The sequence below is a fragment of the Homo sapiens genome, chromosome 18, assembly GCF_000001405.40.
Source record: "Homo sapiens chromosome 18, GRCh38.p14 Primary Assembly".
NCBI lineage: Eukaryota > Metazoa > Chordata > Mammalia > Primates > Hominidae > Homo > Homo sapiens.
The window spans coordinates 13,242,619-13,268,156 of record NC_000018.10 but is presented as its reverse complement, the minus strand read 5'-3'; the positions used below and the strand labels follow the sequence as shown (position 1 = coordinate 13,268,156).

The window sequence follows — 25,538 nt, the reverse complement described above, 5'->3', positions numbered from 1 at the left end:
TCTGCCCTGGGACAGGAAAACAAAGGAAATCAGTAGAAAACTATAGTCTTAAACTTAAGAGGAAAATATCTCTCCAGGCACATCTTGGAAAGTACAAGAGTTTCAAAAGACTAAAAAGAATGTGTCAAGCCAGGTGCACTGGGGGTAGTAGTTGTCGTCCCAGCTACTACAGAGGGGAGGTGGGAGGATCGCTTGAAGTGAGGAGTTCAAGTCTAGCCTGGGCAACATAGTGAAGCCTCATCTCTAAAAAATTGTTTTAAAAGAAAAAGAAACAATGCATTGGTCTGCCCATGTTACCTTAAGTCAAAGCTCAGGAAGGACAGTGGGTGACTCACAGTCTGTGCCAGTTCTCATGGCATGCAAGCTGTCACCAGGGGCCCCAGGAAAGCTGCTGGACAATCCTTACATGTGCGTGATTTCCAATCAGCCAGCCAGAATGCGGGGCCCCAGCCTCTGGCTGAAACCTTCCAGAAAAGCAAAAGATGAGAATGAACAAATGAAGTAGCTGGGTTACACACGACGTCTGAAGTGAGGCTTGCTCATCTCAGTTAGACAGCAGCAGGAGCTGGATCTGAGCGAAAACTGACGGCTGATCTCATACATGCAAACACCAAACACTGCAGAGGTTGTTTACAGAAAGTGAATTAGCATTCACAGGCTATGCCCCTGGGCAGCTTCACTATCCTGATCAAACTGTCCCCGTTCTTCTCAAATTCCACCACCACATGTGACAGGTGGAACGGGTGATGCTGGTTTTAAAATAAATGAGATAGACCACTCTTCCAGTAACTGCTAAGGCTGCAGGCCTGTGTGCACACACTAAAAACAATACAACACAGACACACACACGCGTGAAACTGACCAGTGATCAGAAGTAGAGTTTCCAGACGTTCCAAACATTACTTTGATAATTTTTAAGTGCACAGCAAAAAAAAAGTGTATCACTCTACATCTACATAATTACATACCAAAAAATGTTTCTATTAGAATTATTTGGCCCTTACAAGTGAAAGTACATTTTGCAAAGATAGGTGTCACTGAACTGCTAAAGCAATGTTAGCAGTCGCATTCATAATTCACAAGTGCAGTCTGAGAATATTTTCACAAACCTCTCCCTTGCCACCATTACCCTGTTGATTCTAACCAAGACCTAGGCGTGAACTCAGAAAATGCTGTTCTTTCACAAAGAGATTCCACATGAAAGGAGATCTAGCCTTCAGTCGACGTAAAAGATTTTCTACCTCACTGGAACATAAAATTGTAACTCTTAGTATTACTCTTACTCAGAATTCTGTTCATTTCAACTCTCTTCCTAGTCAGTGACTTGCCACCTCTGAGGCTGTGACTGAAACTGTAACTTACACTCGGAAGGCAGCTCCAAGGGTAGTGTGGGGACAGGACTCCAGGGATCTGCCCACGGGTCTGGCCAGGACTGCGGTGCTGGGCTTGCTTCAGAGCAGTTCCCTCTCCTCCACGGAGAAGCCATCGCCAGGCAGCGCCTGAGCGTGGAGGCCCTGCGGCAGCCTGCCTTCTGCCTAAGACGGTCACTATGCCAATTCAAAACAAAACAAAACATAACTGATTCCCAGCTGTGCCCAGTCCAAGCCCAAATCTGGAGAAGGCAGCCACCAGAGACCCTCGGAATCCTCCCGCCTCTGGACACCTGAGCCCCATGCCAGAAAGGAAAGGAAAGCCAAGCCCAGGGTTGGGTGCCTTCCTCAGCGGGCTGTGTCTGTTGTCCCCGAGACTGCTCCTGCCCACATCTGGCCACGGACCCAGTGCGAGGTACCAGGAGTTGTGCAGGAGGAATGAAGCCACGCCCTGCCCTCGAGGAGCTCCCAGGCTAGCTGTGAATGCAGGGCTGGAGGGCAGAGGGCTTATGCGGACTCTGTAGCAAAATGATCTTCTGTGTTCCTGGGTCCACAGGAAGAAGTCGGGGGAGCCCTAAAAACAAGCCCCGAAAAAGCCTTTGTTTTTAAGGTCTGGGCGAGTGCTACTCACTGTCCAAACTACAGAACAACCGTGTCAAGGAGCCCGCCATTCTTGCTAAAACACACGTTCACTGCCAGGCATCATCTAAGCTTCTGAGTCAGAATCTCTTGGGGTGGAGTCCAGGAATCCGTATTTTTAACAAGCTCCCCAGATAATGCTTAAACATATCGATGCTTAAAACCAGAGCTCTAAACCTAGATCGAGCAGATCCACGTGGGGGTGAGGAGGAGGCTGAGTGCTCAGGGGTGGGAGGAGAAGAGGGACCCACCCAGGGGAGGGCAAAGACCTCAGGAGTAGTGAGGAGGGGGCTGAGGAAGACCCCTGGAGGCCTGAGCTGTGTGCAGCAGAGTGGAGTCCCAGGGCCACCCCAACAGGAGATGACTTCAGCAGACCTTGAAGAAGATCTCAGCACCAGGCAAGCAGGACCCATGGCCAACGAAGCCCTGGGGAGTGGGGCCAGGTGTGACTGAGTGACAAGTCCTCGGAAACGTGCCTGGGGAGGACAGTCCCCAGATGACTGATATCAGCCACCCCATCTTTCTCAGTGAGTCAGGGATCAAAGGAGATTTATTTCTCAAGAAAAATGAAGAGATGTGGCACGCCTTGCTCCTGGGTGCATGGAGCTATTCATCCCTGTCACACGTTTTGACAAATTGCGATGAGCCCAGAAAAGGGCTCACCTGGGCAGCTGACATTTGTGCTGCAGGACAGAGAAAGCCATGCTCCAGGCAGCACAGTGGGAAGGGGGAGGGCTTCGAGTGTCCCCGGAGGAACTGAGTGAAATGGGGGCTGGAGACAGAGACCCCGTCCAGGCCACACAGGTAAGTTTGGCGTTGACCTTCAAAGCTACGCAGTGACAGGTCAGCCCTGCCACTAGGTGGTAAGGCGGTTCTCAGAACGAGGTCCTAGACCAGGAGTTTGGAAGGCGCAGGGAAGGATATGAGGAGGGGAGAGACGGCAGAGGCTGGAGGCAGGGCAGTCTGTTCAGAGGCTGTTGCAAAAGTCCAGGCAAGAAATGTTGAGAATTGAAGGCAGTGACCACAGCGGGAGGAAAGGAGCCATGTGGAAAACACTTAGAAGGTAGAATCACAGGCCTTGGCGACACAGTGGATGGATCAGGGAGCCAGGAGGGGGTCAGAACAGCACCAGGTTCTGGCTTGGGCAACTCAGCTTTAACTCAGGTAAAAGAAAAGAGAGAGCTCTTATATAATTTTACAGATCAATTTGCCAACGTCTTCCTCAACCTTGAAATACTGGAGTCTGTTTATAGGCCAGTTGCGAATCCTCCAGGTTCGGGAAGACTGTACTTGAAACGCTTTTATGAAACAGCACAGTTGTGAAATGCACCCATATGCTTTCTCCAGACACATTCTTCAACTACTCTTTTCAGCAATGCATCTCAGAAAGCTTCATCAACAAAATCAATCCAGATTCAGAATCCTGGAAGAAGGGAGAGGCTACGCAGAATCACCTCACACAGTCCAAAGAACAGCCATTTGCAGAGAAAAGCACAAAACCGTCTTCAACCTGCATGGCAGTCCCACATGGGAAGGAAGCACAGGACAACATCTACTCCGAAAAACAGGCTAGCGGCTTCCCTGCCAAGAATGCCATCACCTAAGCAATCGGGCTCAGAATATCTACACAGAGAAGTCAACTCCCCATTAGCTAAACTCATAAAGGGACACTGTGGAATTGAATGATGGTGAATACTTCAGAAACCATTCGTTCCTGGCTTTCTAAGCATTTTCCTGCACACTGTTGAACATTGGCCAAGCAACTGTCTAACGGTCTGCAGACACCCTTTGGAAAGAGCAGCAAGGCCTGCTCTGAGGATAACTCGGGGGCGGGGCTGGGAAGCCCTCCAGGTCTGCAGCCCCAGCTTCACTGGCCGTTGACGTAAAGCAGCCGCCTGGCAGGGCCACCTCCTCAAAGGACCCATCCTAGCCACTCAGGTCCATCCCGCAACCAGCCCCCACTCGCTCTTTCAAACGGTACCCACCCACCCACTCAACCAACTGCTCAACTCTGGGCCTGGAAAGGGACAGGTGGGGCCCAATCCACCAGAGGGGACAGGGCCGGGTCGTGTCCTGCCCTGCTCCATCATAGCCCCTCCCATGCCCCCAACAGACTTGCCCACCCCAGGGTTATATTAGTTTCATCCAAAATTCTTTTTTTTTTCTTTAATTAAATGGTACTTGAGGAACATAGAAAGTTTCCTCCAATATTCTAAAGTCATGTTGACTGTATGATTGTACTTTATGAAATGAAATAAGATTATGAATCCAGGAGAAGCTGAAGTTCAGTTACCACCCAATCATGACCTTTAGAGGGACAGCAATGCAGTCAGGTGGTCCACAGTCCAAGCTCGACTCCCTCACTTTAACCATAACATACACTTAAAATCAGCCAGCTGTGTCTCAAGCTCGGAACATGATTGATTCTTATTCTTTCCATCTTTATAAGAACCCATGAGGTGGGTAATACGATTACCAACATCTTCCTTTTATCGATGGAGAAATTCGGGCACAGGAGGGTTGAGTGAAGCATCCAAGGTCACATGGCTGCCAATGGGCAGAGCTGGGACTCGAACCCAGGCCAGCTGGCCCAGATAAGGTGCCAGGTGCCCCTCGACTCCCCTGCCTCTCTCCCAAGCAAGCTCCTGCCTGCCTCACTGCACAGCTCTGTGTGTTAGCTGCAATCCCGTGCCCTCACTGTCCTCACCAGGCTGCCCTGAGGATCCCTGAGATGGCAATGGGAAGACTGGCACACAGGACTCAGCCCCACACATAGAGTCGCACAGGATGCAGTCTCCACACACAGAGCCACAGGGGACTCAGTTTCCACACACAGAGCCGCATGGGACTCAGCCTCAGCCCCCACACACAGAGCCGCATGGGATTCGGTTTCCACGCAGAGCCGCACGGGACTCAGCCCCCACGCACAGAGCCACACGGGACTCAGTTTCCACGCACGGAGCCACAAGGGACTCAGCCCCCACGCACACAGAGCCACACGGGACTCAGCCCCCACGCACAGAGCCGCACAGGACTCAGTTTCCACGCAAACAGAGCAGCGTGGGACTCGGCCCCCACGCACACAGAGCCGCACGGGACTCGGCCCCCACGCACACAGAGCCGCACGGGACTCAGCCCCCACGCACGGAGCCGCACGGGACTCAACCCCCACAAACAGAGCCGCACGGGACTCAGCCCCCACGCACAGGGCCGCACGGGACTCAGCCCCCACGCACAGGGCCGCACGGGACTCAGCCCCCACGCACAGGGCCGCACGGGACTCAGCCCCAACGCACGGAGCCGCACGGGACTCAGCCCCAACGCACGGAGCCGCACGGGACTCAGTTTCCACGCACAGAGCCGCACGGGACTCAGCCCCCACGCACAGGGCCGCACGGGACTCAGCCCCAACGCACGGAGCCGCACGGGACTCAGTTTCCACACACAGGGCCGCACGGGACTCAGTTTCCACGCACAGGGCCGCACGGGACTCAGCCCCAACGCACGGAGCCGCACGGGACTCAGTTTCCACGCACAGGGCCGCACGGGACTCAGCCCCAACGCACGGAGCCGCACGGGACTCAGTTTCCACGCACAGAGCCGCACGGGACTCAGTTTCCACGCACAGGGCCGCACGGGACTCAGTTTCCACGCACAGGGCCGCACGGGACTCAGCCCCCACGCACAGAGCCGCACGGGACTCAGTTTCCACGCACAGGGCCACACGGGACTCAGCCCCCACGCACAGAGCCACACGGGACTCAGTTTCCACGCACAGGGCCGCACGGGACTCAGCCCCCACGCACAGAGCCGCACGGGACTCAGTTTCCACACACACAGAGCCACACGGGACTCAGTTTCCACGCACAGGGCCACACGGGACTCAGTTTCCACACACACAGAGCCACACAGGACTCATCCCCCAGGCACACAGAGCCACACGGGACTCAGTTTCCATGCACAGGGCCACACGGGACTCAGCCCCCACGCACAGAGCCGCACGGGACTCAGTTTCCACGCACAGAGCTGCACGGGACTCAGTTTCCACACACAGAGCCACACGGGACTCAGTTTCCACGCACAGAGCCGCACGGGACTCAGTTTCCATGCACAGAGCCACACGGGACTCAGCCCCCACGCACAGAGCCCCACGGGACTCAGTTTCCACACACAGAGCCACACGGGACTCATTTTCTACACACAGAGCCGCACATGTGCCCTGCTCTGCACAGCTCCACCCCCATCTCCTCTGTTCCTCTTTGCTCTCTCAAGCTCTGGTGGCACTCGCAGTCCTGCCTCTCCCCCGCCCCCACCACCAAGTCGCCCTTCCTCCTTAGACACAGCACAGGTACTGCATACAGGTGGCATGCTGCCTGCAGCCGGGTAAGCCATAACTCTTGGGCAGTCTTCAATATAGATGAAGTCTTTACAAATCCTGAAGCTCCTCCCTGAAATTCAAAAGTAGGATAGAAAGACTGCACTTTCTAATGACAACCTCTACGTTTCTAACCGCACGGTTGATGGAACGAGTGCGCTTATCACTCACTCTGCTGACCTGGCCTCTAGGGTACGGCTGAGGTTAGGGATACAACCCCCAAAGGTTCTGAAGGCCTGAGGCTGGAAACCTAAAACCAACAGCAAGGATTCTCAGCTCACAACTTGAACTAAACTGGGATTTCTGTAAACATTTGCTGAAATCGCTCTGTCCCAGGCAGGCACTGTGCTGGGCATTTTCTCAAAGTTCCCTTTCTACAAATGAAGAGGCTCAGAGTGCTCTGAAAACTGTTCACCAGGAACCAGAAATCAAGTCCTTGGCTAAGAAACCACATTCTTTCTTGTAAACAAGATGAAGAAAATCTATCATCTAGCAAGTAGAACAGCAAGAACCCGCTGGTCTATTTTTCCACCAGTAAATGGAATGTTAGGGGCAGAGTTCTGCTATTCCCTGGAGCCAGGACTAATGTGCCCCAGCACCTCACCGTTCCCAATGCCCTCATCAGTTCCTCACGCCTGTTGTGCTAAGACACAGTCCATCGTAGCTGAGCTCTGAAAGCCCACAGCACCATCACCTAGGAGAGGAATGAGGGGGCTGTGAACGCATTAGAGGAGGGATGGGGAAAGCAAGCTGGGCTGCCTGACCTGGAAAAGAGGGAACCAGGTGGGGCACCGGCAGTGTCTTCAGACACATTAGTCCCAACAAATGGAAGAAAAGTGAGCCCTGCTCTGAATCCCAGCCCAGGGAGGCCATAGGGAGGCACATTCAACTGCATCCAGTTGGTTTCTAGGTGCCATGGCATCCACAAAATGGGCTGCATTCAGCAGAGATGAGCTCCCTGCCCTTAGAGCTGCCACACCATGGTAGTCACCGGAAGGAACAGTGGGTATTCAAGGATGGACCTGCCATAGATGTCTATGCGAGAGAAGATAAAAAAATACAAGGACAGTCCTGGAAAGACAGACATCTGTAAGGAGGGAGGGAGAGGGTGGCAGAAAGAATAGCAACAATAAATAATAAAGCAACAGGAAAAAGGAAATAGTCGGCTGAGTCAGAGAAATGCTACACTCAAGAATCCTGCCACCTCCCACTAATTGTCACATGCCCCAGTCACCCTGAACGGGAGCAAATTTTGCCAAGTTCACATAAAACCAATACTACTCAGCTATTTGTCAAAACGGATTAGAGAAAGATTTGCAAAGCACCCTAATACATTTAAGGCATTTATGACAGTACACAAAGGAAAATCTTCCGCAGCCAGATTTCTGAGACAAAGCCAGATTTCCAGACCCTGACAGGGCCGCCAAAAGGCCAGGGAAGGCTGTTCCACAGACACCAGCCAGCAGTGAGTGGAAGGGAACAGGCTCTATGCAGGGTCCCAAGAAGGCTCACAGCAGAACAGGGCGCATTGCTCACACCTTGGCAAGTGGGCACTCAGCTGCCCCTGGGCATAAGGAGGTCAAGGCAATGACCTCCAATAGAAGTTACAGTGTGCTCTCAGGAGATTATCCAAATGTCACTTAGAGTCTTCTCTATTTAAGGGGAAGTAACTGACCTGAACTTAGCACCTACTATCCTACAAAATCTACCTGCTATATTCCACCCAATGCCTCCCAAGAAATCCGAGAGGTCCTGTTACATGCATCTTAAAGACAGGGAACCGAGGCTGGACAGACCACACAGCCCAAGGTCAGTTACAGGAGCAGTGGTGCAAGAAGCGGCTTCTCCAAACCACACGTTCCCCTCCTGGGGCCTCCATTGGGCCAAGAGACACGAAGGCTGGTCTTGCCCTGCGCACCCAGTGGGGCTCAGTCATTACAGGTACAGCCAAGCAAAGGAAAACAGGTGATGGGAACACTTCCTTTCTCAAAGCAGCCGTGGGTGGCTGTAAAGGCAAATTATCCCATGTAAGTGATGCCCCTTGAGTTTGTGAGCAGCACAAATGGAGGGAGGGAGGGAGGGAGGGATGGATTATAGGGGAGAATCAGAAAACAGGAGAAAGAAACAAGTGGAAGAAAATGAACCAAAACCACATACCAATGTATGCTTTACATACATATATATGAGCATTTGAAGGCATGTGGTTTCTTTCACTAAGTACTTCTCTAAGAGCTACCGACGTGGGATGTTTTAGCACTAAAACTCATCTTACTCAAAAATCAATCAGAAATTAGGAGGGCTGGGTTCAGCAGCTCACGCCTATAATCCCAGCACTTTCAGAGGCTGAGGCAAGAGAATCATTTCAGCCCAGGAGTTTGAGACCAGCCTGGACAACACAGTGAGACCCTGTCTTTACCAAAAAATAAAAAAATTAGCCAGGCATGGTGGTGTGTGTCTGTAGTCCCAGTGACTCAGGAGACTAAGGCGGGAGGATACACTTGTGGAGTATGAGGCTGCAGTGAGCTATGATCACGCTACTGCACTCCAGCCTGGGCAATAGAGCAGGAAGGAGGGAGAGGAGGAGAGGGGAGGGGAGAGGAGGACGAAGGAAGGAAGGAATCCACAAACTATGCAAATTCCCCTTTCACTTAGGAAGTCTTATGAACTTGCACAAGTGCTCTGCGGGAATGGCAGCAGCCAGAAATAGCATTTGTTTCAGGAATACTCAGTCATCCCGAATGGAGCACAACAAGATCATTGACCTAAATACTCAATGAACCCACCTAGAGACCTGCTGTCCAGCATCATGCTGGTCGGAAGTTGTACACAGCAGCAGCACTTGGCCATTCTGGATTAAAATCATGACCTGCTTTTAGATGGTGCTTCTGGGAGGCACCTTTTCACAGAGGTAAAAGGCTAGTTTTTCTGGTGTAATCCTTCCCCTGCCCCATTTGAACATTATTGGTAATCTAGCTAAAGAAAGAGGAAATATGTATCATGAAAGGCTAAACTTCATACTAAGCCAGGAAGAAACATCATTGACCTAAATACTGAATTAATGAACAAGAAATTTATCAATTGGCAAATATCAATAAGGTACAATCAGATCATAAAACCTTTTATGGGACCCAGTAAAAAGGAAGGAAGGACAATTCTGAAAAAGAATGTAATCTTTGGTTCACACTCAATAGATTATTCCATCCCTGAGTTTCCCTCTTGTCATCTCTAAACATTTGCTCAAAGAAATCTGAATTTTGAAATCATAAAAGCAAAAATAAAATAAATAGCCAATTCCATGACCATAAAATATTCAAATAGAGGCATCTCATTTCAAGTGTTTTCACCATCGTCCCTAGTGGCCATTCATTAGCAGATTCCATGTTAATGCTAACAAAAGAAAAAAAAAAAGGATTTCGTAGAATTAACTCATTAAGACAAACTAGGAGCTTCAAAAAGAAAACCCTAACATTCTCTGTTAAGCAAAATACTACGGAAGCATGGAAGAAAAGTAAGCGTACCTACTGAAGGTGTCTGATTATTTAGAATTTAGGAATTTTCAACTGTCTTGGTTGGGAAAAAATGGATTTTGGACAGTGAAATTTCTTTTCTGAATACTAAGTAAATAAATGAAAAACAAAAAGAAATGGAACCAGATATTGGAGATCTAACATGTTTTCAACCACTATCTGGCCATTGTATGCTTTTTTCTTTCTTTCTTTCTTTTAAGATAGGGTTTTGCTCTGTTGCCCAGGCTGAAGTGCAGTGGTATGATCACAGCCTCCAATTCCTCGGCTCAAGCGATCCTTCTGCCTCAGCCTGGCATTACAGGCCTAAGCCACTGCACCCAGCCCCATTGTATCCTTTTCTCATCTTTACCATTATCCATCTATCCAAACTACCACTACTGTTAAAGCAGGTTTCTCAACCTGGGCACGACAGACACATTGGGTTGGACAAACCCTTGTGATGAGGCTGTCCCGTGGACTGTGGGCAGTCTAACAGCATCCCTGGTCTCTCCCCACTAGATGCTAGGAGCACCTCCCACCTCCCACTTGTGACAACCAAAAATGTCTCCAGACATTGTCAAATGGCCTCTGGGGAACAAAGTCACCCCCAGGTGAGAGCCACTGCTATAAAGCATCCAGACCTATAAAATCATCCCCTATATGATCACTCAGTGTCTCACATCCAGGCTGCAGGCCGGACTCTGAAGCCCAGGCTGCCACCCCACACACGCCTGCCCATGAGCACAGCATGGATGGGGCAGGGCAGTGGGTCAGGGAAACCCATCCCTGCTCATGGAAAAGCAACCGCATGTCCACGTCCTACCAGGGATGAGCCAAAAGTGTCATCCCCAAGTCTCACAAACATCATCATTACAGAACGAAAGGACTGGCACTGAATTCTGCTCTGTCCCAGCCATCAAAAGAATGGCGAAATCTCACACTCAGGCCTTGACACTGGGCTTCTGAAGATCATTAAAAGGAAGAACATTTTCAAAGCAGAGGTTTCCACAGAAACCAGGTCATTTTTATTCTCCACGATTCAATTCACCAGCTTAAAAACCAGACCCACGGCACATGGGTTCAGGCCTTTCTGAGCCAGGGCCGCGAGGCTGTGCACGTCTGTCCCGCCGGACCCTCCAGCGCGGCATGACTCCATGGCAGAAACGTTTTAACTGGAAATGATTTGTGACAGCTCATAAACAGCTCTGAATACAAACCATTGTCAAAGGAAGTATTAACAAATTTGCACTTCTCAAGTTCCCACATAGGCAATTTTCTCATCACTCTGACAAGAGAAATGTTTAAGGAAAAGAAAACAGACAGTTCTGAGTTCTTTGGGCAATATTTTCCAAGTAAGTGCACCAAATTCCGCCAAATGGCAACTTCGTTCCAACAACACAGGTTTCCTTCCCCGGCACACACACCTGCCACACTGGGCACTGACGTGCCTGGGCTCCCTCCATTCACCTAACCCCTGCTTTTGACGCCTTCCTTAGGAAAGAGAGGCTCTCTCTTCCATGCCAGCACACACACCAGCTTACCAGGGCTCTCGTTTTCAAAGGGCTCTCTATGGAAACATCCATGGGGTGCCAGATTGCTGGATGCTAGTGGGGTCGATCTGTAACCTGACCCAAGTACTCAGCACTGTTCACACCAGTCCTACACACCTGCTGGCATTCCTGGGATTTAAACCCAGCTGCCCTAATACAATACTGATCTCGAAGCAAGAAGTCCTCAGAATGTTTTAAAACTGTCCTAACTCAGTATTTCCCAAACTTTAAGGTGCACAAGAATCCCCTTGGATCTTGTTAAAAGGCAGATTTTGATGGGGGGATGGGGTCCAAGGCTGAGGCTGAGACCACATTCCTAACCTGTGCCCATGCAGCTGATCTGTGACCCCAGGAGGGTGACTCAGAGACAGAGCCAAGAAAGGGACCCTATTTTAAAAGAAGAGCCATTTCTACTCCCAACATGGAGAGGACTCACCTCAAATGGCAGGAGGATGCTTTTAGATTCACCCAAGCCTCCCCCTACATCCAGGGCAGTTTGTGATCTGAGTCCTGCCAACATATATAATCACTGTCTCATTTTCCCTAGAATAATCAGGCAGCAAAACCTTGTGCACACACAGCACCTGTTCTCCCAGGGAATCAAAGTGCTTTACATCACGTCTTTCTTGGAAAGAAACTTAGTTTGATTTCTGGACAACAATTAACACATAATATCCTAAATAAGTGATACATCATTTTCTAAGAGGGTAGCAAGCACGAAAGTTAGGCAGAAACAAGATCATGATGAACAAGAGTGATAAAAGTCAGGCCAAAATAACACCAATGCTGATGACAAATTGTCTCCTCACAATAAAAGCAATGATCAAAGCCATCCCTTCCCCAGCCATCCTCATCCTGATAAAATGGAATTCCAGTGCTCAGCAGAAATTCAGACGCACCACATCTCCCTCGGCCAGCTCTCCACCTCAGTGCATCCTCTGGTTCCTCCTCCACTCCAAGCACCCCACAGCCCTGGCCTGGGGAGCCGTCCCTAGGGCCTCAACGCTGCAACAGCCCCTATGGCACCCTGCCTCTCCCTTGGGCCTCCACCGTGATCTATTCCCCAGAGACCCTGACCCTCTGGAAACCTACACCCAGACACTGCTCTGCTCCAAACCTGGAAGGGCTCCCATCCCACCTGGACCCTGGGCCCTATGGGAAATCACACATACCCACACATATGTTCACACATGCCTGTATGTGCACATGCATGCACATGTGCCCTCTGCACCCCCTGCTCCTCTCCAGCCATGTGGCCTTGACCACTCCAGGCAACCGCTCACCCACAGCCTTTGCACAGAGTTGCCTCAGCCTAGAATCTTCCCCAGTACCCATATGGTCACTCCCTGCTCTAATGCTACCTTCTCGGACCCCAGTACATCAAACCCCACTCTTTGTTGAGAGTGGAGCCTTTCCATTGTCTGCCTCTGCCTCTCCCAGCACAGACCCTAGGCCAGGAGGAGCTCCCACTGTGTATCCAACAGCACCTGCTGGGTGTGGAGCATCCCGGGGCTGGGGGGGGCGGGCATCTGTCTGCAGCCCCTGTGCCCAGCACACAGCAGGGCTCTGGAAGTATCTGCTGAACCCAGACACCCTGGCTGTGTCTCTGCCCCTTAGTCTCGAGCCCTCACGGGTTCAATCATTTGTTCATATTTCATATTTTCTACTATCATTTCATCTGATGATTACTGTTTTAGTCTTGCTGCCCTATTAAACAAGAAGAATTGGGTTTTTCTTTTATTTAACTTTTTTTGAGACAGGGTCCCGTTCTGTTGCCCAGGCTGGGGTGTAGTGGAACCATCTCAGCTCACTGCCACCTCTGCCTCCTGGGCTCAAGCGATTCTCATGCCTCACGCTCCTAAGTTGCTGGGACCACAGGCAAGTGCCACTACGCCCAGCTAATTTTGGGGGCTTTTGTAAAGACAACAGTTTCCCTACGTTTCCCAGTCTAGTCTCAAACTCTTGGGCTCAAATGATCCTCCTGCCTCAGCCTCCCAAAGCTCTGGGATGACAGGTGTGGGCCACCACGCCCAGTATGTTCTTTTACATGTTTAATTTGTTGAACACAGGTGGACATTTTTGTTTCTTGAGGCTCACTGTAGGTCAGAGTAAGGACTCGGCCAATTCCGTAACCACCATGAATGGAAAGATGCCGCTGGACTTCCTGGCAGAAGCATGGAGGGTCGCTGGCACTCTAGGTCCAGCTATGCCCATGGTCAGCTGAGCGACCTTGAAGAGGCGGGATTCTCTCTGTCCGCGCCAGCCCTGCTCAGCTGGGCCAGGGAAACTCCTCCAACCCCCAAACTGCCCAGTCTCCAGACCGTGGCCCAGTGCAAACAGACCCTGTCACTGCTGCTGAAAACACTCCAATGGCTCCCCAAGGCCTATAAGATCCCACTCAGCCTCAGAAAAGAAAACCCTGAGTCCACCTGGGGCCCCTCACTCCTCACCCCATCAGCTCTGGACCCGAAAAGCTCCCTGCCTCCCCTGGGCCTCGGGCTGTGCCCTCCACCCAGACAGGCTCTTCTGCCTTCACGGCGCGACACCGCCCGTCCGTGTTCAGCCCTCAGCTCCATCACCTGCCTCCAGAAATCCCTGGGCTTCCCCTCAGTGGAATCTCGCCGGGGCTTATGCTTCTCTGCCAGCACTCTCCTCCCCTCCAGCACTATCTCCCAGCAGCAGGTCTGCATTGACTCATCTGAGTCCTGGATTCCTGGGATGCCCCGTATCGCAGCAAGCCCCCAAGCACAGGGCCTTCTGCGGCCTCGGCTCTAGGGCTGGGCACACACTGGGCACTCAGTGAGTACCAGCCTGGAGGGCAGGTGAGCAGGCGAGGGAGGCGCCACCATCCTGCCATGAGATTTGTTATCAAAAACTCACCCGGCAGCTTCCTGTTCAGTGACATCTGAGGGCCAAAGGGTGAATACAACCTGTGCCAGAGATGCTCCGATACCCAGAACCTAAGCTTAATTCTAATGAAAAGAAATAAAACATGGCAGGTTCTGATCATTGTGCCTTTAAGAGAATATCAAAAAAAATTATTCCGAATTCCACTCTCTTTTCTTTGAATGCATTCCTTCCTCCCCCCACTTCATTTGCAGAACTCGAAGGGTAACACATACTGTACCTCCCACTAGAAATCAACCCCATTAGCACCATGTGTCATAATCAATCCGAAAAGGGGCCCTGCCCACAAGTACTAAATCAGCCTGAGAGCTCTTGGCCATCCTAACACTGCTCATTTACCCTGCAGGCTTTGGAGTTCCTTCAAGCGGAGGTGTGGAAAAGGGAAAAAGACTTTTAAAATATTACTCTTCCTAGATGTATATCATGCTTCTTAAAAAAGAGTGAGCAACACCCTTCAGTCAACAGCCTGAGCACATTCATGCTGAGAGCAGTGGCGCCCAGCTTCCCCACCACAGCCGATCACAGCAAGGCTCCGGGCGAGGGTCCTGGTCTCCAGCCTCACACCCCCCACCCCACGTCTGACACTCCTCCTCACCTCCCACCTTCTCCTGTCACCTTCTCGGGTCCTGACAGCACACCCAGGCTGAAAATGCCCACCACCACCACCACCAGGCTCCTCGGAGACTGGGGCCCAGGCAATGTGATCACACATTTGTATCTGCAGAATATCACTGGCACTTGGGAGCAGGAGCAGTTACAGGGTGCCCAGAGTGAAGCAGGCCTGCACCCTGGACCCCCAGTGCCCCGGTTTCCATGCAAGCACTCACCTGTCTCATGCCATCTGCTCACAGAAGCCTCGTGGTACAGCTAGTGGTCTGGAAAACCAGCAAAACAACAAGACACAAAGAGAAGCAAAGCCTAACGAGACTACAAGGACACTATTCTAGGAACAGCGCAACACTGCTCCGCAGAAGGGCTCAGAGCCAGACATCCCTGCGCAGAAACAGCTGTGGATGTGGAGGGCCGACGGCAAGTGAGGCTGGTTCTGCATGTCACATGAAATGAGGCCTTGACCTCACAGAAGCAAAGAGCATCTTCATTCCTCTCACTGGCAGGAACCCTTGTCATCCATCACATCTGCGGCAGTCCCACCGTGCCCAGTATGGTGGGGGGCACCACCGAGTTCCCAGGGTGCAGCTGCAGCACCAACCTCGTCATCAGTCTGTAATTGTAATAACATTAAGCAATTGGAAGTTCATCATTTGTGCATCAAAGGCTGCCTGAGGTCAGTCATCTGGTCAGACATGGGGCTGTGGCCCACCCTGGGTCCCCGCACCTAGCGGTACACCTGGCCAAGTGTGCACAGTGAATAACTGTGGAAGGCCGGGCACAGTTGCTCACGCCTGTAATCCCAGCACTTTGGGAGGACGAGGTGGGTGGATCACCTGAGCTCAGGAGTTCGAGACCAGCCTGACCAACATGATGAAACCCCATCTCTACTAAAAATACAAAAATTAGCTGGGTGTGGTGATGGGCGCCTGTAATCCCAGCTACTCCATCCAGAGGCTGAGGCAGGAGAATTGCTTGAACCCAGGAGGTGGAGGTTGCAGTGAGCCGAGATTGCACCATTGCACTCCAGCCTGGGCAACAAGAGCAAAACTCCATCTCAAAAAAACAAACAAACAAACAAAAACCAATGAAGCTGGCAAGAGATATATTCTAATACAAGGAGACATTCCAATGCAGACTGTTTCTCCTGGGAGGACCCAAGTCCCCTCCAAACAATCATATATCTACAGAACCATATAAATGACATTCTTTTCAGTTTGCTTCTTTTAGTCATGAGGGTTGAGTTTCCATATCCATGACTAACTTGTTTTGAAGACCAAGGAGAAAAGCACCATAGCCTCCTCAATAATGGGCCACAAGTCAGGAACTCTGCATTTGGGATAAACAATTTTTCTTCAAGAATATCATCTCCTTAAAATGCAAACAGAGGCTTCATTGAAGCTGTAGATTTCTTTGGGCAGTATGGTCATCTGAACCATACAGTACTTCTTCCAAGTACTTTCCATTTGTTTGTCAGTCCTCTTCAATTTCTTTTCATCGATGCTTTGTAGTTTTCCTTGTAGAGGTCTTTGGCCTCCTTGGTAAAGTTTATCCCTAGGTATTTTAAATTTTTTGTAGCTACTGCAAATGGAATTGTCATCTTGATTTCTTTTTCACCTAGTTGTTTGTCTATAGAAACAATATTGATTTTTGTATGGTGATTTTGTATCCTGCAACTTTACTGAATTCATTTACCAGTTCTAAGAGCTTTTTGGTAGAGTCTTCAGGTTTTTCTCTATATAAGATCATGTCATTTGCAAACAGGGATAATCTGACTTCCTCCTTTCAAATTTGGATGTCCTTTCTTTCTCTTGCCTGACTGCTCTGGCTATGACTTCCAGTACGTGTTGAATAGGAGTGGTGAGAATGGGCATTCTTTTCTTGTTCCAGTTCTTAAAGGAAAAGTATTCAGCTTTTCCCCATTTAGTACGATGTCAGCTGTGGTTTTGTCATTTATGGCCCTTATTGTGTTGAGGTACATTCCTTCTATACCTAGTTTATTGGGAGTTTTTATCATGAATGGGTGCTAAAGGTTATCAAATGCTTTTTCTGCATCTATTGAGATGTTCATGTGGTTTTTGTCCTTCATTCTGCTGATGTGATTTAATCACATTTCTTGATTTATGTATACTGAACCATCTTTGCATCCCTGGGATGAATCCCATTCAATCATCATGTACTAGCTTTTTGATGTGTTGCTGGATTTGGTTTGCTATTATTTTGTGTAGGATTTTTGCATCTATATTCATCAAGAATATTGACCTGTGGTTTTATTTGCTGTGTTCTTATTTGCTTTTTGTGTCAGGGTTATGCTGGCCTTGTAGAATAAGTCAGGAAGAATTATCTCTGATACAATTTATTTGGAATAGTTTGAGAAGAACTAGTATGAATTCTTCTTTAAAGGTTTGGTAGAATTCAGCAATGAAGCCATCCAGTCCTAGGCCTTTCTGCTGTGACAGACTTTTATTACTGATTCAACTTCATTTCTTGTTAGTCTGCCCAGGTTTTCTTTTTCTTCTTGGCTCAATCTTGGTAGGCTGCATGTGTCCAGGAATTCAGCCATTTCCTCTAGGTTTTTTACTTTAGTGGCATGTAGTTATTCATAATATTCTCTAATGATCCTTTATATTTCTCTGGTATCCATTGTGATGTTTCACTTTTTCACTTCTGATTTTATTTATTTGGGTATTTTTCTCTTTTTTTCTTAGTCTAGTTAATGGTTTGTTAATACTGTTATTTCTTCCAAAATCCAACTTTTTGTTTCATTGATCTTTGTTTTTTGTCTCAATTTTGTGTATTTCTGCTCTTATCTTTACTTATTTCCTTCTATTAAGCACCAAAATACCAATGACATTCTTCACAGAAATAGGAAAAAAAAAGCCAAAGTTTCATATGGAATTATAAAATAGCCAAAGCAATCCTGAGCAAAAAGAACAAAATTGGAGGTATCACACTACCAGACCTCAAAATATACTATAAAGCTATAATAACCAAAACAGCATGATACTGGCATAAAAACAGACACATAGATCAATGGAACAGAATAGAGAGAACAGACATTAATCCACATATACACAAGCCAACTGATTTCTGACAAAGAGGCCAAGAACACTCATTAAGGACATTCTCTTCGATAAATAGTGCTAGGCACGTTTACCTATGTAACAAACCAGCACTTCCTGCACATGTACCCCTGAACGTAAAATAAATAAATAATGCTGGGAAAACTATATGCATATGCAGAAAAATAAAACTAGACCCCTACCTGTCACCGTATACAAAAATCAACTCAAAATGCATCAAAGACCTAAATGTAAGACACTAAACTCTAAAACCATTAGAAGAAAACACAGGGAAATGCTTCAAGACATTGGTCCAGGGAAAAAATTTATAAGTAAGACTCCAAAAGCATGGGCAACAAAAGCAAAAATAATCAAATGGGATTATATCGACCTAAAAGCTTCTGCACAGCAAGGGAAGCAATCAACAGAGTAAAAACATGACCTACAGAATCAGAGGACATACCTGCAGACAATGCATCTGATGAAGGATTAATATACAAAATATACAAGGAACTCAAACATTTCAACAGCAAAAAAAAAAAAGATCTAATTTTAAAATGAGAAAATTTGAGTGCGGACATTTCTCAAAAGGAAACATACAAATGATTAACAAATATTAATATATGAAAAATGTGCAACATCACTAATTATCAGGGAAATACAAATCAAAACCACAATGAGGTACCATCTCACCCCAGTTAGCATGGCCACTATCAAAAAGACAAGAAATAAATGTTGGTGTGGATGCAGAGAAAGGGAACTGTTACACACTGTTGGTGGGAATGTAAGCTGGTACAGTCACTACAGAACAGTATAGAAGTTCCTCTGAAAACTACAACTAGAACTCCCATATGATCCAGCAGTCCTGCTACTCGGCATTTACCCAAAGGAAAGGAAATCAGGATATGGAAGAGACACCTGCACCTCCACATTTACTGCAGCACTATTCACAATAACCAAGATACAGAATCAACCTAGGTGATCCACAACAGAGGAGCAGAGAGACAAAATGTGGAACATATACACCATGGCGTACCAATCAGCCATACAAAATGAAAAGCCATCATTTGCAGCAACATAGAGGGAACTAGAGGGCATTATGTTAGGTGAAATAAGCCAGGAACAGAAAGTTAAACACCACAGGTTCTCACTCATGTGTGGATGCTGTAAAAAGTTGACCTCATAGAAGTAAAAAGTAGAAAAGGGAATACTAGAAGTTGGGAAGGGTTGTAGGGAAAGGGGGATAGGGAGAGAGTTGTTAAGGTATGCAAAATTACAGCTAGATAGGAGTTCTAGTGTTCTATACCACTGTATGATGATTATAAGTAACAGTAACATAATATACAATTTCAATTAGCTAGGAGGATACTGAATGTTCCCAGCACAAAGAAATGACAAATGTTTGAGATGATGGAGATGCTAATTACCCTGATCTGATCACGACACATATGTATCAAAACATCACTATGTACCCCATAAATATGTAATTATTATGTGTCCATTTTTAAAATAAAATACTTCAAAAATGTAAATAACCACAAGCAGTTAACACTTAAAAACACTAAGAGCTATTAACATCTTGGTGTAAAGTAGCTTAGCAGTTAAACTTACAAACCTACTAGCAGGCCAGTGGTTCATTCCACAATTGCTACATCACATCTTATGGGGTGGTCGCTGTGCCCACACCAGCCAATAACCTGCACAGGCACAGAAACAGAAAGCTCTGCCAGGGCAAAGGAGGACACTGGGCATCCAGAGGTGACACTGGACCCTGGGCACCGAGGGGAAGTATGATGTGGAAATAAGGTAGTTTTTCTTCTGTCAGACATTTTGTTTTAGTCCAGCTCTTACAATCACAGCTCAAAAAAGTGGGGCTATGGCCGGGCGCGGTGGCTCGCGCCTGTAGTCCCAGCACTTTGGGAGGCCGAGGCAGGCGGATCACGAGGTCAGGAGTTTGAGAACAGCCTGACCAACATGGAGAAACAGTGTATGTACTAAAAAAATACCAAAATTAGCCAGGCATGGTGGCACACGCCTGTAATCCCAGCTACTCAGGAGGCTGAGGCAGTAGAATCGCTTGATCCTGGGAGGTGGAGGTTGCAGTGAGCCAAGATCGTGCCATTGTACTCCAGCCTGGGCAAGAGAGGGAGACTCTGTCTTTAAAAAAAAAAAAAAAAAGGCGGGGGGCGGCGCTGTGTGCAGTTGGACAGGTTTTCTGAACCACTGGGTCACACTGAACAATAAATCTCAACTGGACATCATGACTAAAGGCTCCAGAGTGAGCGGGTTCTCCAGCAAATCCCGTGGCCTATGAAAACTGTGGCAGAAATCGGGGAAAGCTCAGATCCAGTTCTTAAGCACAGGCGCTTACAGTAGCAACCCTGGAGCGCCATCAGCAAGAACACGGTGACTAGAGATGCAAGACAAGCACACCGCCAGGCACAAACTTTGCAGACCCTGTGCGTGCGTGGAGGGTGCTGCCAGGGCTGGGCCCCTCACTAAGACCACCTTCATTCACACGACAAGCGGAACATGGCTGAAAATGGGCGGCCGTCAACTGGACCTACTAGCATGCTCTCTACTACAGAGTTTGAAATTTTTACCGTAATAAAAAGTTAAAAATAAAATTATTTAAAGAACAAAGAATAAAAAGCAGTGGTTAGATGCAACATGGCATCCTGGACTGCACCTGGGAACAGAAGAAGGACATTAGTTGGTAGAACAACTAGTGAAATTCAAGTCAAGTCTATGGTTTTCGTTAGCAGTTTTCTACCAACGTTAATTTCTTAGTTGTGATACGCGTGCCATGATTACATATGATGTTAATGCCTTTACAGGAAGCAGGGCATATAGGAACTCTGCACAATCTTCGTAAGTCTTCTGAAAATCTACAATTATTTCAAAACAAAGCTTTTTGTAAAAAAGTGGTGGCTTAGTGACAGAAAGGGGAGGCATACAGAGTTTAAAATCCTGCCGTTGCCCTAAAAACAGAACCTGTAATTCTTACTACCTCCTGGCACCTAAAGCAAGCCTGGTTGGAATTTAAAAGATTATCTGGTGAGAACGGATATGTTTCTAATCATGACAGGTAGAGGTCTAGAGTTTACCCAAGGTCTTTTTTGTCCTTAGCCCACCATCACTGTGTCTGTGTGCAGTGAATACTCATGTTCTATTAGGAAATTTAAAAAAAAAAAAAAACCCTTGTAGATAAAAAAACATTGCAGATTTTCAGGAACAAAATTAACCTAGTTTACAAAGATCTCCTGTTATTGATCATGATCTACCTGCAGGGCTGTTTGTCTAACCCTGAGGTTATGAAGCACAAATGTTCTCCTTTCTAGTGTGACTAATGGAAAATCAGGTGTGCAGACCTGGTCTGCTAAATGTCGCAACAGGAGAAGACAGCCTCTGACATGGCGCACTCCACAGTTGATCTCTGGAGGCCAATTTTCCAAGACACTGACAAAACAGGGGATTCTAAGCCCATGGATCACATTTCCTTACAGACTCCTGCCCACTCCAATACCGACTGCAGCCATGACAGCTGGCCAGCCACCCCTTAGGGGCTGTGGTATCTGCATTTTATATGGCACTGACCTCGGTGTGTGTACACCCATCAATAGCTGGAGGGCCAGCATGCCATAAATCACTCCCCATCTCCTCATCACCAATCAAGCACTTTATAGAAACCTGACCACAGATTTCTGTGAGTGATTTAGACAAGTGGCACGTGGTAACACGACGGTGTTACTGTCTATCCCAAACTCAGGACTGCAGAAATGCACCAGAATGCACATCACCAGGCGCCAGGGCAGCGAGATCCCCAGGGCTGCACAGGGACCCCAAGGGCACAGTGCAGTCTCAGCATGGGCAAAAGCAGGCAGAGCCTGAAGTCAGTGATGGCCGCAGACCACCCAAACCTCTGGAGGCTGCAATTAGCTCTTCAGTGAATGCTTTGTGGTGACTTCAAGCAATACGGGTTATCTGAATTTATCGTTGTTCGCACACTTTAATTAGCCTCTAAAAATACAGGGACCCAACCTTCATGCCAATCTTTGTTCACACATTGAATCCATTTTTAACAATGCATTTTTAATTTGCTCTTGAGCATCTACTTATACATCTGTCAGTGCCTGCCTTGTAATTCCAGGCAGATACTGGCTTTTTAGAAAGGAGTAATAATAGCTGCAGTGCTCTGAGCCCCGAGTGATGCTCTGTGCAAGACACGGGCTCAGCACTTTGCACACTGTTCCCCTTAGTCTCCACCAGGCCAAAAGCAAAAGTCAACAACCCGAGACAAGAAAATCAAGAGGAAGAGAGGCTGGAGAACAGCCAGCATGCACACCAGGTGGCAGAGCTGCAAGGGCCCTGCCCCTCACCTGCAGGCCACCAGCTGCCATTCTGAGCTGGGTGATGTGAGAAACTCCAATTGCCTCTGCCCCCTTGAAGCAGAAATGATCATGCTGTCTGCTCTGGTTCCCTCCACTGGAGAAACCCTGCTTTCCACATGTCTTAGGGATACATGGGCCATAGTGAGACGGACAGAGAGCCAGGATCAAAGATGTGGCCCTGAGAGCCAGCCCTGAGCCTTCTGACTTGGGCTGACCTGGGCACAGCACTTAATCTACCCGATCCTCGGTTTCACATATGAAAAGTGATGATGCTAATAATGCCAATGCCCCATATCATAGCAATTGGCAAAGTCCTGTATGAAGATTAATTAGGTGTGGTAGTATTTCCTGCTGGAATAAACTCAGCAAAAACTTCAGGCAGGCCTCCAAAATTGATATCACCTGAATCCAACACAAGACTACACACGGCTGCCCTCACGTGCCTGTCTCACCTCGTCTCCCCATTATTTCTGATACTGAATAAGCTCTCAAGAATAGAGGGGCTGGGATGAAGTCACACATGCATCCGTACAGCCCAGGTACACATGGGTCCTGCAGACTCAGGATGACTCCTGCCCACGAGCTCCACATGGAATGGTTGCCCCTGAGGTTTCTCCACATTTTCCCTCATGACGCTGACTCAGGCACAGCTCCCACTTAGGGGAACCCATGCCCCCCACCAAACAGAGGGTGCAGTCGACCATAATAAGGCAGATGACATGCTCCCCAGGAACCTCATGTGCAGAGGAAGCAGTGCCTCACGGAATTGCAGGGGCCACAGACGGACCAGATGATTCTGCGCTCTTGCTTGTTTGTTTCTCCCAGAGTACCTAACAAAATTGCTAATGAGGCATATGATGCATGCTTTCTAAATATTTATTAAATTTAACTTTAAAATGAACACTCCCACCTGTCCATGAAGACAGCAAATCTCAACCATGAGGTCAATCCACAAGCTCTGCCAAAAGCTCAAATTCCACACAGAACATTCAGAAGTAAGACCTGCTGTGTGTGTGGATATGGATGTGCTGTGACAGGGTGTGTCTTGGGGGAAGAGGGAAGGAGAGGCCTAAGCTTTTGATGGCAACACTTGCAGGTGTAAACGTAAATGACTACAATATTAACCACAATACAACCCACATGGGTCAATAAAGATGTTTAAAGATTTCAAGGATTCATTCGTAATTATAATAACAAAAAGAGAGACGTAGGTAGGTAACAGAGAAAACTTGGGGCCTTTACCCTAACATTTTATATTTATGTTTGGCAATTAACTTTAATAACTGACAGATCAATAGGAAGGTTGATGGTGGAGGATGGGCAGGATGAATGGATGTGCAGATGAATGAGTAGATCAGTGGGTGGATGTTAGGACAGATGGGTGGATGAATGGATGGGTGGGTAGGTGGATTCGTGGGTTGGATGGGTGGATGAATGGGTGCATGAATGGATGAATAGATGGATGGGTGGGTAGATGGATGGATAGAAGAATGAGTGGGTGAGTGGACAGGAGGTAGATGGATTAATGGATGGGTAGGTGGATGGATGGATGAATGGATGGTGGATTGGTGAGTGGATGAATGGATGGATAGAGGAAAGAATGGGTGGGTGGGTGGGTGGGTGAGTTCATGGTGGATAGATGAATGGATGGATGGGTAGATGGTGGTTGGGGAGATGATGGATGGATGGAGGAATGGGTGGATGGGTATATGGATGGATGGGTAAATGGATAGATGGATGTGTGGGTGCATGAGTGGGTGGGTGGGTGGGTGGATGGATGGATGAATGGATGGATGGGTGGGTGGGTGGATGGATAGAGAAATGGGTGCATAGGTGCATGGATGGATGGAGAGATGAATGAGTGGGTGGGCGGGTGGATGTGTGGGTGGGTGAGTGAGTACATGGTGGATAGATGGATGGGTGGATGGGTAGGTGGTAGCTGGGGAGATGATAGATGGATGGGTAGACGGATGGATGGGTAAATTGATGGATGGATGTGCGGGTGCATGGGTGGGTCGCTGGGTGGGTGGATGGGTGGATGGGTAGGTGGTGGCTGGGGAGATGATAGATGGATGGGTAGACGGATGGATGGGTAAATCGATGGATGAATGTGCGGGTGCGTGGGTGGCTGGATGGTGGATGGATGGGTGGGTGGATGGATAGAGGAATGGGTGGGTAGGTGCATGGATGGATGGACAGATGAATGAGTGGATGGATGGATGATGGATGGGTGGGTGAATGGATAGAGGAACGGGTGGGTAGGTGCACGGATGGAAGGACAGATGAACGAGTGGGTGGCTGGGTGGGTGTACAGGTGGCTAGATGGATGGATAGGTGGGTGGGTGGATGGGTGGATGCTGATATAAAGTTTCAAATGCTGTTCCCACATTTTGTCTCATTAATCCTCCTCATAGGTTGAGAGATATTCCAGTGTCCACTCTACAGAAGTTAGTGACGTGCCCAAGGCTAAGAGCTGGAAGTGGAAGAGGCCGGGGACAACTCAGCTCCTTGGCTCTCACCTCCAAGGGGCCCTGCCTCCCACACCATGCTGCCCATGGAAAGGTGGCCTACTCCCTTGGAAAGTCCAGCTGTAAAACACTCCCAAAGAAAACATGGCCTGACTGGAAAACTAAGATCAGCTGGAGTCAGACATAAAGCCTTTAAGTGCTTCCAGCATACAAAACAGCCCCAAGACACTCAGCTGCTGCAGAACTGAGATGTGGAAATGAAGGCACAGGGGCAGAGCAGGCGCCAGGCGCAGAGCAGGCCGGCAGGGAGAAGAGCACCCAGCCCGGGAAAGCTCCTGCCAGCACAGATGGATGGGTGGATGGGTAGGTGGATAAGCCCACTGTGTAACAGCTGAAACCCAAGTCGAACAGCTGGGGTCAGAGCTGCCTGAAAGGCCAAAGCTGTTGGATAAGATTTAAATAAACTACTTCAAAATTACCTTTATTAGAGTTAAGTAAAACAGTACATCTAATGGGTACAATGTACCCTATTGACGTGATGGTTACACTAAAAGCCAAGACTTCACCACAAGGCAATATATCCATATAACAAAACTGCACTTGTACCCCATAAATCTATTTTTTTAATTTTTTAATTAAAAAATAACAATGCAGAGTGGCT

At 48.3% G+C, this 25,538-nt stretch overlaps 1 protein-coding gene across 36 annotated transcripts in view, besides 2 other annotated features; it reads right to left on the bottom strand.

Annotated features, from left to right (window-relative positions):
• Positions 1-25,538, bottom strand: part of LDLRAD4 (low density lipoprotein receptor class A domain containing 4) — a 435,073-nt gene that overhangs the window by 384,598 nt on the left and 24,937 nt on the right. The window contains exon 1 of one of the 36 annotated variants that reach the window (XM_024451252.2): positions 1,363-24,812. The exons of the other annotated variants lie outside the window; for them this stretch is intronic. The gene's annotated coding sequence lies outside the window, so the exon portion shown is untranslated. Of the gene's footprint in view, positions 1-1,362; positions 24,813-25,538 lie in introns of those variants that run through there. 36 annotated transcript variants of the gene reach the window in all.
• Positions 1,684-2,246: an enhancer, noted in NCBI's record as "H3K4me1 hESC enhancer chr18:13265910-13266472 (GRCh37/hg19 assembly coordinates)". NCBI's record gives its function as "activates a minimal SCP1, AML or CMV promoter by ChIP-STARR-seq in primed H9 embryonic stem cells {active_cell/tissue: H9 hESC(primed)}" and the evidence as "EXISTENCE:reporter gene assay evidence [ECO:0000049][PMID:30033119]".
• Positions 4,537-5,475: an enhancer, noted in NCBI's record as "H3K27ac-H3K4me1 hESC enhancer chr18:13262681-13263619 (GRCh37/hg19 assembly coordinates)". NCBI's record gives its function as "activates a minimal SCP1, AML or CMV promoter by ChIP-STARR-seq in naive H9 embryonic stem cells {active_cell/tissue: H9 hESC(naive)}" and the evidence as "EXISTENCE:reporter gene assay evidence [ECO:0000049][PMID:30033119]".